The sequence below is a fragment of the Homo sapiens genome, chromosome 4 (assembly GCF_000001405.40).
Source record: "Homo sapiens chromosome 4, GRCh38.p14 Primary Assembly".
NCBI classification, from domain to species: domain Eukaryota; kingdom Metazoa; phylum Chordata; class Mammalia; order Primates; family Hominidae; genus Homo; species Homo sapiens.
In genome coordinates this window covers 163941090-163956952 of record NC_000004.12, presented here as the reverse complement: position 1 = coordinate 163956952, position 15863 = coordinate 163941090, and the positions used below count along the sequence as shown (strand labels likewise).

The following is a 15863-nucleotide window of genomic DNA, read 5'->3' as shown; positions in this document are numbered from 1 at the left end:
GAATAAATCTTCTGAGTTAAGTGAGGATGGGTTAGCCATAGGGACTCTTGCTGGTTGAACACTTAGCTTCTTTTGACTAAATGTATAACTATCACAGTAAGTTTCGCTTTGTAGTCTTTTGATGAAAACACAAATTTATAGGTGTTTTTATTTGAAATTGATAAATATACTATCTAAATGCTAATGCAGATATTTAATATTGAAAGCCATGTTACCACTCCGGATTTGTTATTTGTTCATTGTCCCCCAAACCACTTATTTGTTATCTCAACACATAAACTGTGTTGTTTACTTAAAATAATTTTGCACTTCATATTACAATTTTGCATATAATATTGTCTATTTCACTGATATCTTTCCTATTTTGTTGCCTTTAAAGAAAAATGTTCCACCTGGTATCATCTTTATTTGTTGCTTAAAGAAACAGTTAAGTGGCATGAAAATCTTAGTACTAATTAACTAGTGGGCTAAAGAATACTATCGAGTCCCCTCACTGAAATTGTGATATTCGGACAACAGTACTGGCTTCCTTTGTTAGCTAATTTACCAGTGACTTTAACAATGGCATGTCCAAGAAAGAAAGTCATCATATGTCCTATTATTCATGTAGCAGTCGTTCATTCAAGAAGTATTTTTGAACACTTACTATATGTTAGACATTTTCAGTAAATATTTATTGAATGACTAAATGACTTAGGAAATCTAGCTTGAGACTATGATTTGAGCAGACTTTCTTTTAACTTTCTATTATGGAACAATTTTAGATTTACATAAATATTATGAGGCTACTACAGAGTGTTCTGATACACTCATTACCCAGCTTCTCCTGATGTTAACATCTTACATAATTGTAATTTTTCATATTACTTTTGTCAAAACTAAGAAATTAACATTGGTACAATGCTATTAACAACATACCTTTTTTTCTTGGATTCCACCAATTTTTAACTCACCTCTATTTTCTATTCCAGGATCCAATTCAGGATCCATATTGCATTTACTTGTCATATCTCCCATCCCTTTCTATTTGCGACAATTTTTGAGCAGCTTTTTAGCATCTGTGTTCAAAATACATGTTTATAGTTTCTAATATATATTATTGGAAATAAAACTCATTTAGTTGTCAATTCACTGGACATTCATCAAGAATCTGTCACAATACACTGCACTTGGCACCGGAATATGGACATGACTGGAATATGCTTATCCTAGAGAGGGTCACAATCTATTGCAAGCGAAGAATTTCAGCCATGACATAAGTGCTGTAACAGGATTGGGAAGATATAAAGGAAAGCCCCAGATTCTGACTGGAAACGTTAGATGCGATCTTCAAGAAGAGTGAATGAGTGAGACAGGCAAATCAGAGTGCTTCAGATCAAGGAAAAACACACGCAGGGGCACAGACATGAGAAGCACAGCACAGTCACAGACAGGACGGGCCTGTGGAGTGAGTGTATGAGTTGTGAGAGAATACAATGGCCAGGGAGTGTCAGATTCTGAAAGCCTGTGTGTTCTGCTGAAAAGTGAAGTGTGGACTTCATGTTACAGGCAGTGAGAGTCATTAAAGTTTTTTTTTTTTTTTTGCTTTGTTTTTGTTTTTTTTTTCCCTCAAAGCAGATCCTATCCTCTATTATGTGAGAGAGCTTGCTGTAAGATCATTAAATCATTCTGGAGAGTTACTCCGGACTGTTAGACTTTTATCCAGAACACTGTGTTTCTTTTCTTTTTTTTTTTTTTTTTAATGTTCAGTAAGGATTAGGAAAGCCATTAGAACTAAAGGTGTCTTTCATAAACATTTTCAGAAGTTATCCCTCCCCAAAAGTAAATTTTAGTATAAAGCATGGAAACATACATTCCACCTCCATTGTCCAAATTCCCATATTTCTTAAAAATAAGAAATATGGGCATGGATGGAATCACAGACTGTAGAGGAACACAAAGAATGTTGCTAAAATCTGGAATTGGTTTCCCGGAGGCAGACAAATGTGTTACTTTTGTAAAAAGATTAACATTTAAAAATTTCAAACAGTCTATAGTTTGTTGAAATCTCCAAGCAAATATCAAATGAAGCAATTTTATTCTGAATTTATACAAGGTGCAAGGGGCAAAATTATAGCTCTTAAAGCATGGCTACTTGGTTTTGTGCCTCTGAGTGTGAGAAGCCAGTTTTATTTAGACATTGCCACTGAATGTGATGTCAGCATCACCAGGGAGCAATTTGAATTTGTAACAAGATCCCCAGGTGATTTATAAACACATTCAAATTTTAGAAGCACTAATTTAAACTTTGTCTATTAGATTTTTAAAATTTTATGAAGAAGTATGAGATAGCCATAAATAAAATCATGGCTATAATTTGTTTTTAAATGAAGAAATCATGTCAAGACAACATGAACATGTGAAAATTCTATAAAGGAAAGAACATTGCATACAATTATGCATCTTTTAAAATATGCATTTTATTTTTACCTAACAGTATCCAAGGGACAAATGAGAAAATTGTTTTTACGCATCTCTAAATGTCACCTCATTATATTTCACTTCTACTGATTATGTATTTTTAATGAGTAAATGAAATTTGCTATATTAATCATCCAAGAAAGTTTTAGACATGGAGTTTAAATGCCAAGTATTTTACATAACATATAAATATTTGGATTTATGCTAAACAAAAACATGACTTTTTCAAACTCTGAATTTCTTGGGAATTAGTCATGCTCTCTTAATATTCCATGTGATTTTTATGAGAACTATAATTTCCTACCTTATTTTAAGGGAAATTTTAATAAGTGAAAGAATCATTTTACCTTTCACAGGACCTATGTCTTTTACCTAGTTATTTCTTTATGTATTAAAAAATGTCTATTCTGAGCTTACTGTACACAACCTATTGTTAAGTTGCAGCCATTTTTGTTATCAGGAAATTAGAACCAAAGTCTGGAACAGTAGCCTGCTCATGAATAATTCTGCTGTAGTTTTTTATTGGTATTAATGGAAGACAAGCGTTAGTGGACTTTTTCTGTAAAAGGCCAGATAATAAATATTTTAGGTTCTGTGTCTCATTCACCCTTATCCACTCAACTCTGCCATTGTAAGAAAAATGCAGCCAAAGCCAATACATAAAGAAATGAGCATATATGTATTCCAATAAAACTACATGAGCACTGAAATTTCAATTTGACATGATTTTATTATTCTTTTGATTTTTTTAACCCCTTAAAAGTGTAAAAACCATTCTTAACTCATAGGCTATGCAAAATATGTAGGATGGATTTGGACTCCAGGCTATAGTTTGCTGATATCTACTGTAAGACATTGAGTATATGAATGTATGTTAACAGTGGATTACTATTGACTATGGGTTTATTAGAAACTTGATTAATTTCTTGTATCTATAATATTGGCACTATATACGTAGATCTGAGAAGAAAAACAGAGGCCAAAAGAGAAAGAAGCAAAGAGAACTAAAAGTCATTGTGAATCTACCATGTATTAAACTACTATGTGTTCAGCATTTTATATATTTCATCTTGTTTAAACTTCATGACAGCCCCATGAATGGCTTGATGACAACCATTTTACACATGAGAAAAAATCAAGCCTTAAATGACTTTTCAAAGTCATACAGCAAGAAAGTGGGTAGAAATAATCCAAGTCTGACGCCAAATCCTGAAATATTTTACATTGTATCACAGTAGCCACGATGCCTCACCCAATAGGATGCATGCTATGTACTAAAAATATTTATTTTTATAGGAAGGTGAGGGAGACCGTCACAAATAATGCAATATTTGTTTGGAACTTTGAGATGGAATTCTGACAGGTAGCTGGAGGTTGGAGGAAGGCATCCACATATAGGGGTGTAAAGCTAAAGAGAACATGGAGGTCAAAAAATGGCAGGTGAATGACCACTTCTGAATTTCCAATGGACATGACATTGTCTTTCATTTCATTCCTCTTGACTTTATCTTTCTTTGCTTCTGCAACTTTTAGCCTTTCTAGCCTGATGAAAATGGATTGGCTCACATTCTTCTTTTTACTTATCTGTTTTTGTTCTTGGCCCAGATTTTCAAAAGATAACCTCAGAGCTTCTCACCTGCCATTTCTGAGTCCCTAGGAAAAATTTCAGAAGAAGCCTCTTTTTCTTTGTTGATTGTCATGTAAGCCTTTTGACTAATTGTGCTTGGTGGTGTGCAGTGATAAAAGACAAGGGAGATAGCTGGCAGGCATTGTGTCTTTCATATACCATTGACTTTTGTACTTTCTCAAAGCAGATTACAGCCACATAGCTATTTAGATGATATGCAAATTATATGTGGTCACAGTATTTGGGCTGGATCGTAATTACTACATAGATGGAGTGGTGAATGTCTCATTAATACAGATAAGCACCTCATGCAGACCCTCTTTTTGTTGTATGGTATGCATGCTGAGAAACGCAATCCACAATTTTCTCTTAATGACCCAGTCTCATATTTTATAACATGCTTAACATTTAAGCACTTTAATTATTTTCTTTTTAGGAATCCCTTATAGCCCAGAGAGATGGAGTAGGACATTGAAAATATTAGTATAGAAGCTTTGCACTAGCGTGTAGAGTAAATTTTATAAAAATATGAGAGAAGTCTACCCAACAGAGATTTCACATGTCTTTGGTTTAGCATTTTCTACAGTGTGTATCGTTATATAGGCTAAAGAAAGAATAAAAGAATGTGTGAAATAATCTCTCATAGATGACATCTACTATACTCAACAGTGTTCGACTTTGATTTAGGAAATGGAAAATATGTCTGTATATTTGCAAGATCAAACTCAAATATATGTTTCTCATGGCCTGATGCTTACTTGGGGAAAAACAAGCGATTTTCATGGAGTCTTAAGGGGGTAGGAGATCAATAGAATCTTTGTTGCTACTAATAACTACTTCTCAACATTTAAGAAATGTTCTCTTCTTTATAATGCTAAGTTATATCACAAAATGAAAAACAAGGAAACACGGGTGCTTTTATAATTTTATAAAAATGTTGACCTCTATAATTCACAGTGTGTAGCATATTTGAAATGGTAATCTGGGGACTGTCTGCTTCTGATAATATCATTCTAAGGTACCTTCATATATAGCTTATTGAGATAACAAATATTTGAGAAGCTATAACCAGGAGCGTAACTCTTACTTTCTAAAGTATACTTTCAGCTGATCTAAGCTATCCCTAGATCTTTAAAGTCAACTGACTTATCCACAAGACCTTTCTAGGAAGGCCTCTGAAAACCAGCTGTGAACTGCAGTACATACAGCACTTACCTTTGACAATTACTCTGGTCCCGTCTGCTTTACCTTTCTGATATTTCTCCTTCTCTTCCTTGTTTCCCAGATTGTAGTCCTTGCTCCCTTGGAGGCTTCGTTTTAGGGATAGCTTCAGTCAATCATTCAGACCTTTTCTCTCATTCCCTCTTAATTGCCCAGACTTCATTTTTCTTTTGGTTTTAGCTTTGGTTTTGGTTTTGCCTGTGTATCCTCTACCAGGAAGTAATCCTCCTGCTCACTTAAATTGGCATATTTTCTTCAAACTCTACTATCCCTAACTTTACTGAAGGCTTACACCTGTGTTCGTAGTTACATGCATCTAGATAGCAAATCTACTTCATAGATGAGAGTTAAGGACAAGGGTTAACGGTGAAAAAAAGAGCCAGGAATTTTGATCAATAGACCTAAAGATAAAGTTACAGATATGTTCATGGATAAGTGCAAATATATCTGGCTATTTCCAGATGTAGTAAATCTTTTTCCCTCCAATTTCCTTTGCTTCTGTTAATATCAGTTTTTCTCATTTCATCTAAATGTTGTTTTTGTTGAAGTTTATTTTTCAGTCTAAAATCAAAATAAGTGAAGTGATATTTTTGTGTGCTCTCATTTTTTGGTAGATACTCTGTTCAGTTTACATGACTTGACTCTCTCTGATACTATGACATTTCATGCTTTTGCAATAACTGTAGTGGTCTCTAAATTATTAAGTTGCTTTGCTCATTATGGCCCTGAACAATGTTCTTTGGAGCTCATGTCAAGATGAGAGTTCTTCTAACGTCAAGGAAGAATGGATTTCTTTAGATCAATTTCTTGAATATGTACTTTTCATAAATTTACGTACTCAATACAAATAATCTTATAAATTAGTATGTTTGATCTCCCTAAGTTAACATTTATACTATTTAAGCATCACAGTGTGGACTCAGAACTTTATAGTATCACAGGTAGTAGCCTATCTGGAGCAGCCGCTGCCATGACGCTGGCTGCAGTCGCGGAGGTGTGGATGGGGCTGTATGCCCCACGGAGCCAGCGGGAGCTGGGAACAGGAAGAAGCCATGCCCCCTTCCAAGTGGGAGGGGCAGGAGCCCCACCCTCCTGAGCACCGCTGTCTAGCCAGGGCTGCAGACCCAGACATCTCTACACTCTCTGGGACCGGGAAGCAACCGCCGCCCCCTGCTGCAGGCTCAGAAGTGCCTGCTCCTGATGCCTGGCCTCTCCCCATTCTGGGTGCCCACTTCAATTTCAGAACAAATTTGTGGCACAGTCCGGATGCTGTCATGACCTGGCTGGGTGTGCACACACTCGAGGCAGCACTGACACGCCAGTCCCCTGCCACCTTGGCCCCCTCTGGACTTTGGGCACTGATAAGCACAAGAGGGAGTCCAAGGGCGGGGCTAAGGGTGGCTCAAAGCAAGCCTGCAGGCACCCCTCAGCACAGCTTGGGTGCTGTGGGCACTGTGATGACAAGTTAATGGCGGCAGGAGGCAGACAGGCTCCCAGGCAGAAAGGGGTGGGTCGCCAGTGAAACCCCACCTTCAGGCTGGGCCTGGCCTGTGCCCTGAGGGCCAGGCTGCCAGAGTGAGAACTTATGGTGCTTTTCCTGGGCCCGCCCATGACCACCCATGGACCAATCAGCACACACTTCCTCTCCTAAAGTTCATAAAACCCTGGACTCAGCCAGACTCCAGCAGTGGACGACCTGCCTATGGAGAGGGGGTACCCACGTTGGGTCTCCTCTCTGCTGAGAGCTGAGCAGAGGACAGGACAACCTGCCTGCCTAGAGGAGCTACCCAATATGGGTCTCCTCTCTGCTGAGAGCTGAGCAGAGGACAGGACAACCTGCCTGCAAAGAGGAGCAACTCACTGTGGGTTTCCTCTCTGCTGAGTTCTAAACACTCCAGACACTGCCTGCAGAGAGGAGCTACCCACTGTGGGTCTCCTCTCTGATGAGAGCTGAGCACTCATCAGGACAACCAGCCTGGAGAGAGAAGCTACCCACTGTGGGTCTCCTCTGAGCTATTCTGTTGCTCAGTAAAGCCCCGCTTCATCTTGCTTACCCTCCACTTGTCTGTGTAACTCATTCTTTCTGGACACAAGACAAGAACTTGCGACCCGCTGAATGGCAGGGCTGAAAGTGCTGTAACACAAACGAGCTGACACAGGCCCCTTTCTCACCACATTGTGGATGACGAGAAGGAGAGAAGAGAGGATAGACGAGCTGCAGCCCTTTGGGGAGCCCAGCCCTAGAGCTTCACGAGCCAGGGCTGTGACACCCTCTTTGGGGCTTTGCAGTTCCTGTCATCTCCAAGCTTCTAGGTGCCACTGTGTTCCCAGTACCAGCCGTGGAAGCCGTTTGCAGTGCTCCTGGTCCATCTGCAGCCTCACAGGGAGCTGGCACCTGTGCAGGCACTTGGAGCTGCCTGCCCCACCGCAGCCGGCATGCTTGGCTGTGTGCAGTGGCCAGACCCCATGCTCACTCACTCACATACCCATCACCACTCTGCACCTGGCTTGCCCTTAGCAGGCAAGGGATCCAAGCCGGTAGTGAGAGTTGAGTGCAGACTGCCAGGCCAAGTGGGCAGAATGAGCCCAGCGGGCCCAAGCAAAACACGGGCAAAGGTGCCATTGGCCACAGAGATTTCCCACTGGAAAGATGACACCCAAAGGATCCTGTGACAGTACTATGGGTCAGATGGCTCCTTGATTAAAATCTTGTTCTCCATTCACAATCCCCTAGACTTGGTGTTTCTAATTTGTGGCTTTCTCACCCTTCAACTTGTTGTAGTAATCATTGTCTTTTTAAAGCTTTTATTCACTTTATTGCTAAAGCTAACATGATATTTCAAAGTTGTTGCTGATTGTTCCATTAAATGTAGACTTTCCTTCCTGTTTATTCTTATTTTCCACAGTTCCTCCATTTTACCTAATAACTGAAGTGTTCTACTTAGGTTTTCTTCTTGTCTTTACTCCTGTTGCTTCATTTAGAATGGCTTCTCTCCTCTCCTGTATTTAACTGCATCCTGCTCATAATTATAAGCCCAGCTCATGTCCTGTCTACATATAGGCTTTTCTGAAAAACAACCTATCCTCGATCAGTCTTTAATTTTCTTTGTATAGATTGTATTGACTGAAATACCTGATGACTAATCACATACTACTTTTTTTAACCTGCTTCTGCTATTTCCTCAAATGATTCTAAGCTTCACATATGTAAAGAATTAAAGTTTCAAGTCTTAAAGTACTGGACAGGTAGTAAATGCGTAGAAGATTACTCTTCCTAAGAAGGCTGCTCTTTCCTAATGAGAATAAATGTGTTCTTTTTACTATATTGGGACATCTACAATTAGTTTAACCTCTAAGAATTTGCTTCTTAATATGAAAAAAGTCTAGCTAATGATATTACCTGATTTGACTAGTGAACCATTGAAACGTAAAGTATACCATGTGATGCCATTTTAGGATATTGGTTATTTAGTTTAAAATGCATGTTTTGTGCCCTTGTTGTCATCAGATAGATCTTTGTTCTGTACTTAGATTTGTAATGTGCTATAGTAGAAGACACAATGTGGCAAAGAAACAAGATAGATTGGTGAGAAGGCAAATCATGTAATCAAGAGGAAGTAGTGGTGGCTGATGATTAAAAGTAGAGAAATCTACTTTGGGGGAATATTATTGCATACCTTTAGAATCTTGCTAATAGCCAAAAGAAATGGAAATGTTACATCATATAGTTATTTTTCTCCTAAGAAACTAAAATAACTACAAAGCAGTTTTTAGTACTTAGATATGAAATGGAAAACTATGGTAAATTATTATAAACTAAAGGTAGCTCAGATCATACACAAGAGGAAGCTACGTTACCTCAAAGGCAGATGGCTTCTAGACAATATAAGCTACGCTACTAGTTTCCTACTTCTACCACACATTTAGTAACCTAACACACCACACATTTTATTATATAGTTATGAAGTTGAGAAATCTAAAATTGGTCAACAGAGCTTATTTCTTCAAGAGGCTCTTGGATAGGAATCATTTATTTACCTCTTCTGTCTTCTAGAGGCTGTGTTCATTTCTTGGCTTGTGGCCACACATCACTCTCATCTCTGGGTCCAGTGTTACTTGGTCTTCTCTGACTCTGACACTTCTGCCTCCCTCTTATGTGGACCCTGTGATTATATCGGACCCACCTGCATAATCCAAAATAATCTCCCCATCTCAAGATCTTTAACTTCATTACATTTTCAGAATTCTTTTGGCCACATAAAAGAATAATATTCACAAATTTCAGGAATTAGGACATGGCCAACAGTTTGGGAACATTATTCTGGCTACCATAGCTACTAAGATTGTTAGGACCACAGCTCATCATCTTCCTACTCTAAGGACCTGGAAAAAATAACAAAAAATTAAAAATCTAGTATTTTTAGACAATATATTTGTAACTGAGTTATTATCATATAAAGTGAAAAGCCTTCCTATAAGTGAATTCAAATTGAAATTTGCCACGAAGTACAATTTTCCAATATATTGCTTCTCATTTACACCATTTCTATGTACACTTGCTGAGTCAAAAATATTCAAATAATTTTTCATTATTTGCTGAATATGCTATGTTCATTCATATTCCACAAGCTTGTATAAAAGGTAAGTGCTGCCTACTTTAAAAAAAATCTGTAAACAAGAATTCTTTATTTAAATACAGATCTGGAATGTCTTTATAGAATTTGATAGGGTATTCTAATGGTGTAGAGATAACATCTTAACAAATTGTTGCAGTGATATTTCAGGTGCATTTTTATAAATAATGCAAGTCCATCCATGGAAAATAGATAATGGGAAATTGAATCACTTTTTAATTGCTAAGGGAGACTATTGAGATGCCACTGTGCCTTTAAAACCATGGCCACAATCGTGTAAAATTAGCAAGATTACTGAAAAATAGCTCATTGTTCACTTGTGCTCAGCATAATCTGAAGCCTTTGGGAGAACATCAAATGAATGTATGCATGGTCTTGTCTACCAATCTGTTTGGGGGAGATTAGGGAAATAGTCACATAAACTAATTTCATTAGAAATTGGGAGATGAAAATAACTGTCTTGGACTAGAAGAATCAGGAAACATTCCTGGGGGATATTATTCTTACCTTGATCCATACAGGTGTGTTGGATAGGTGCAAAAATACAATAGACCAAGGTATAAAATTTATTTTTAAAAAGATTAGGGTGAATAGAGAAAATCAGGACTATAGAGAGATGATAGTATGGGATCTATTTTGGAAGGATATTATGGGGCCAGGTTAAATGAGTCTTTATTTAAGGACAAGTGGAAAAGTTTGGGCTTGATAATACAAGGATATTTAAAAATCAGTCAATCAAAGAAACAAAACCCTGGAGTGTAAAGCCCTCTCTCTACCCCAGGCACATAGTAGAAAATATATTTGCGACGTTGAGAGGAAATGGTGGAGATTTTTGTCTTTCTTTTATTTTCACTGATATACCAAGTGCCCAGAGTGATGCCAGATATGTATTTATTGAATGAATTATTTTCCATATATTTTTGTAGCAAATCAACTTTAAAATTAATGTTTTACTATAAATGATATAACATCAATTTGGTGCTATATGGAATTAAGTGTTTTTTTTTTAAATGCACTAAAAATACAGGTTGAGAAGCTGGGTTTGATATTTACCATAACAGAGACCTAAAAACTAGGGAAGCTGTGAGACTGTAGAGTCTCCACTCAGCATTAGAAGGGTGACTCGGTTCAGGCTTCTCTCTAAAGCTGAACCATCCTTAGACACTCCAAGGCAGTAGAACCCTTTTCAAATGAAAGCTTTTTTCTTAAACTGACTAAAAAGCAGAGTATTTTAACAGTCTTCTGTGGTAAACCTCTGAGTGTATCCCATTTGTATTTGTAATGTTTTATCCATTGAAATATCAAGATTACTCAATAAATGAATTAGGTGTGCACAGAGGAAATGCAATTTTCAATTAAATTCATATGCAAAATATTGAGTTGCTAATAATAAGCTAGTTTATGGAGATAATGAATTATGTAACTCCTGTGAAGATCTGTCCTTGTTGCATTGCTGGAACTGAGTTCAATAATTCAGAAAGACCTAGGCTGTTTTTCTTTACTAACTTAACTGTTGGATACACTAGTTTAGAAATATTATTAGTGGTGATTTTAGATACCATTTCAAAATTACTCTACTTGCAGCTGCTCACCATAATCAACCCCAAACAGATTGACAGCTATGAAGATACATGCTTATTATCAAATATCTCACAGGACAGCAGAAATGTTTGATTATCTTATTTTCTCCTTGTAGTATTGACTCGTCTAGTCTCCAATTGGAGAGTTAAATAATTTGTAAGGTTTTATGAAAAAGAACCCCAGAAAAAAAAATACCATGTCTGGCCAACAACCAGGATTACAGAGAAAATTAGGAGAAAACCAGACATTTCTGTAAAGAAATAGATAACATGTGTGACATTATTTTCTTGAAATCTTTGGGAGTAGAGGCTAGCATAGGAATTATTGGAGCATCTCATATGCCTGAGATGTAGCTCTTGTGGGTATTGCTCATGTTTGTAAGACAATATCAGTTTGTTTTTTATCTGTACCCTTAAGGCTGTACCATCAATTAGCTGATGTATGGAGATTGAAGGATGAACCAGCAACCTGTGCTTGAAGTTCTTAGGTCCTAGGAATATGAATAGTCAATACAGGTGGCTTTATGGTTTTCATTCAATGTCTATATCTAATCATTTTAAATTGATATTACTCTTGCAAAACTCACATTAACCAAATTGTCATGGATATCTGTGGACATGGGGCTGAATGGAAGCGTAGAAAATTGGATTTCTGGTTAAAAGATTCATGCCCTAATGAAATGCCTGCCTGTAATTAACGTGATTTTTAGAATGTTACATTTCTATTACCTCAGTTTCCAAGAATTGCAAGTTACATTTTTTGGAGTAGATGTTAAGATGAATTGGGGCTTTAGGATATTTCTTAGAGATTAATACTTGGGAAAGAAAGTGGGAGGAAGTGGGATGGAGTGGAGGAAAAGTTGAAATGCAGTGCAGATCCAATACAGCCTTGGCCAACCAGGAAGGAAGCTCAAGGAAGAATGTGGCACATCAGAGTTACCCAAAAACTGGCTCAAGCAGCTGGGCCTTTATCCTGTTACCTTGCTCACTTGGTCACTGGTTGTGGACTTCCCCACAAAAGGTGTGACATCAGGTGAAGCAGCTTTCTGCAGCTGAATCAAATCTAAAGGAGGTAACAGCTAGAGTCTTATCTACTGACCACACTGACTGCAGCTAGACAACTCCCTCCTTAAAAGATGGCATATTTCTGGCCAGGCGCGGTGGCTCACGCCTGTAATCCCAGCACTTTGGGAGGCTGAGGCGGGTGGATCACGAGGTCAGGAGATCGAGACCATCCTGGCTAACATGGTGAAACCCCATCTCTACTAAAAATACAAAAAAAAAAAAAAAAAAAAAATTAGCCCGGTGCAGTGACAGGTGCCTGTAGCCCCAGCCACTCGGGAGGCTGAGGCAGGAGAATGGAGTGAACCCGGGAGGTGGAGCTTGCAGTGAGCGAGATCACATCACTGCACTCCAGCCTGGGTGATAGAGCAAGACTCAGTCTCAAAAAAAACAAAACAAAAAAAAGCATTTTTCTGTGTTTACCATCCTGAGTCAGTAAATGGTGCATTGTAGTAAAGGGTTGTATTAATGGTAGGGTATGAACAATAAGATGATATATAACACTTAACATTCTGTGAATCTTGTTTGTAGCCACCTTAAGCCCTGGTTTAAATTCCGTGGAAGGCTCTACAGCAAGCCCAGGGATGGAGGTGTGGTCTTTTTTTTTTTTTTTTTTTTTTAACTTCTATTTTAAGTTCAGAGGGACATGTGCAGATTTGTTACGTAGGTAAACTTCTCTCATGGGGGTTTGTTTTACAGATTATTGTGTCACTCAGGTATTAAGTCTGTTACCCATTAGTTATTTTTCCTGATCCTCTCCCTCCTCCCAACTTCCACCCTACATCTACAGTAACCAAAACAGCTTGGTATACTAGTACAAAACCATACACATAGGCCAATGGAACCCTATAGCCCAGAAATAAGGCTGCACACTTACATCCATCTGACCTTCAACAAAGCTAACAAAAACAATGGGGAAAAGACTCCCTATTCAATAGATGTTGCTGGGACAACTGGCTAGCCATACACAGAAGACTGATACTGGACCCCTTCATTACACTATACACAAAAATCAACTCAAGATAGATTAAAAACTTAAATGTAAAACACAAAACTACAAAATCCCTGGAAGACAACCTAGGCTGTACTATTCTGGACATAAGAACTGGCAAAGCTTTCATGACGAAGACACCAAAAGTAATTGCAACAAAAGCCAAAATTGACAAATGGGATCTAACTAAAGAGCTTCTACACAGCAAAAGAAATTATCAACAGAGTAAACATATAAACTACAGAATGGGAAAAAATTTTTGAAAACTATGCATTTGACAAAGGTCTAATATCCAGCAATTATAAGGAACTTAAACCAATTTACAAGGAAAAAACTTCATTAAAAAGTGGGCAAAGATATGAATAGACACTTTTCAAAAGAAGACATACATGCGGCCAACAACAACAAAAAACTAGTGTATCCATTTTGTTCTTTTTTTTTTTTGGAAGAGAGGTTTTCTTCAAATAAGTACAGTTTCACATTGAAGGGGGATATTGGTTGATGGTCTTGAATATGAAGAAACTAATGAGTAAGAGAAAGGAGAAAGCTAAGGTTGAGAGGAAATGGTTTCAATTTATTATAAGGGAGACTTTTTTTGTCCAACAGAACTGTCCTAAAAAGATCGGGGGAGGTAATCAGTTCTTTCCTATAACTCCCTATGGGGAGGAATAAATAGGGGAAAAACATTTTGTGTGCAGGGCCATATTGAAGATGCATATCCCTTCAGTTCTCTTATCATGCTATATTCTACCATCACTGTAAAATTACTTGGCATGGACATTATATATGGAAATTAGGCAGAAGTGTATTCAAGGTGGAAAACCATCCTTTTAAACATGCACTTTCATGACTCTCTGTGCCCATATAATCAGTCACTTATTTCATCAGTTCAGGTTCTTAGGAGCACTGGCTCGTTAACATATGTAGCATAAAGTCAGGAAGCTGTCCAAGGGGCTTATTGAACAATTCTCCTTATCATCATGGTGTAAGACTTGACGAGCTATAATTAGACAGAGAAATATCTGTGCTCTTACCCAGAAGGGTATGCTTCTAAAAGAACTGTATACGAAGGAGAGAGTCGAAATCCATGACTAATGTCTTTGTTTCACTTTATGCTACCTGGTGTACTTTGAGAATAACTTCCAAATTGGACACGGTGGAGTTGGTCACTTTTCCAAGGAAGTGATGATGTGAAACCTTACTGCTTCACAGATATTTTATAAAAGCAGGCTGTAACTTATGGAAGATGGAATATGAAGCAATAGAAAATAAATATTTTAACATGCTGTTTTATTGTTCATGAAACCAAATGCAACAGTTTTTATTGAGAAAGTGTTTTACCTTTAACCACCTCTTCACACTCAATTTCATGTATCAAATATTTGACTTGGACTAAAAAGTAAACACAGAGAAGAAAGTTCTTTTGGCTTGAGAAACAAAATATGGAAAGAAGTAGGATTATTTTATTTAACTTTATTATTTCTGAGTATAAGCTGACACTCTTTAAAGTTGACACATAAATTTAAATAGTAATTTTAAAACATTTTTATAGCACTTACTATATGCCGTTTTAAGTACTTTCCATATGTTGAATGCTTTAATCACTGCAACAACTCTGTGATATAAACACTCTTATCTCCTTTTGACGAATGAGAAAACTTGGGTACTTAAGCACAAACTGTTCTTTAGGCACAAACCAGAAAATGGAGGAATGTCTCTGAAGGACCACGGGTAAAGGGAAGTCCATCTATTAGGCAGAACTTGGCATAGTGTATTTTGTTGTTTGTTATGTATGGACTGAGAAGGACCCAAAAAGGTCACACAAAGTAAACAGCAAGGCAAGGATATGAAAGCAGGAAGAGTCATCCAGAATCCAAGCATTTATCCTTTACTTCTATTTAACCTACCTAACTAATTCTAATCTGATACCTGTGTTTTCCAACTGGTGCCACGTCTGTCATGTTTATCCCTGACTCAACGTTTACTCATGTTCTTTCCATTTCATGGTTTCTTGGAATGTTCTTTTCTTCTCTTTAACTTATTTGACTCCGTTCAGTGCCTAGCTCAATCCTAACACCTTCCTGAAGCTTTTCTTGACAACCACAGCTAAGACTGAGTTTGCCGTTCTTTTCACTCTTAAAGCTTACAGTGTTTGTATCATACAAATCACTACTTAAATCTTTGAAATATCCATTATTATTTCTATTTTAGATAAAGACATAGACTTTCAGAAAAAAACAAGTTACCCTCTCAAGGATACATAGCCTGTTTAGCAGAGTAGGATTCAA

General features: G+C 37.5%; 1 protein-coding gene across 5 annotated transcripts in view, besides 1 other annotated feature; it reads left to right on the top strand.

The window, feature by feature from the left end:
• The window catches only part of MARCHF1 (membrane associated ring-CH-type finger 1), an 859722-nt gene that overhangs the window by 427067 nt on the left and 416792 nt on the right, over nucleotides 1-15863 (top strand). The gene's annotated exons all lie outside the window — the stretch shown is intronic.
• Nucleotides 6029-6528: an enhancer, noted in NCBI's record as "H3K4me1 hESC enhancer chr4:164871577-164872076 (GRCh37/hg19 assembly coordinates)". NCBI's record gives its function as "activates a minimal SCP1, AML or CMV promoter by ChIP-STARR-seq in naive H9 embryonic stem cells {active_cell/tissue: H9 hESC(naive)}" and the evidence as "EXISTENCE:reporter gene assay evidence [ECO:0000049][PMID:30033119]".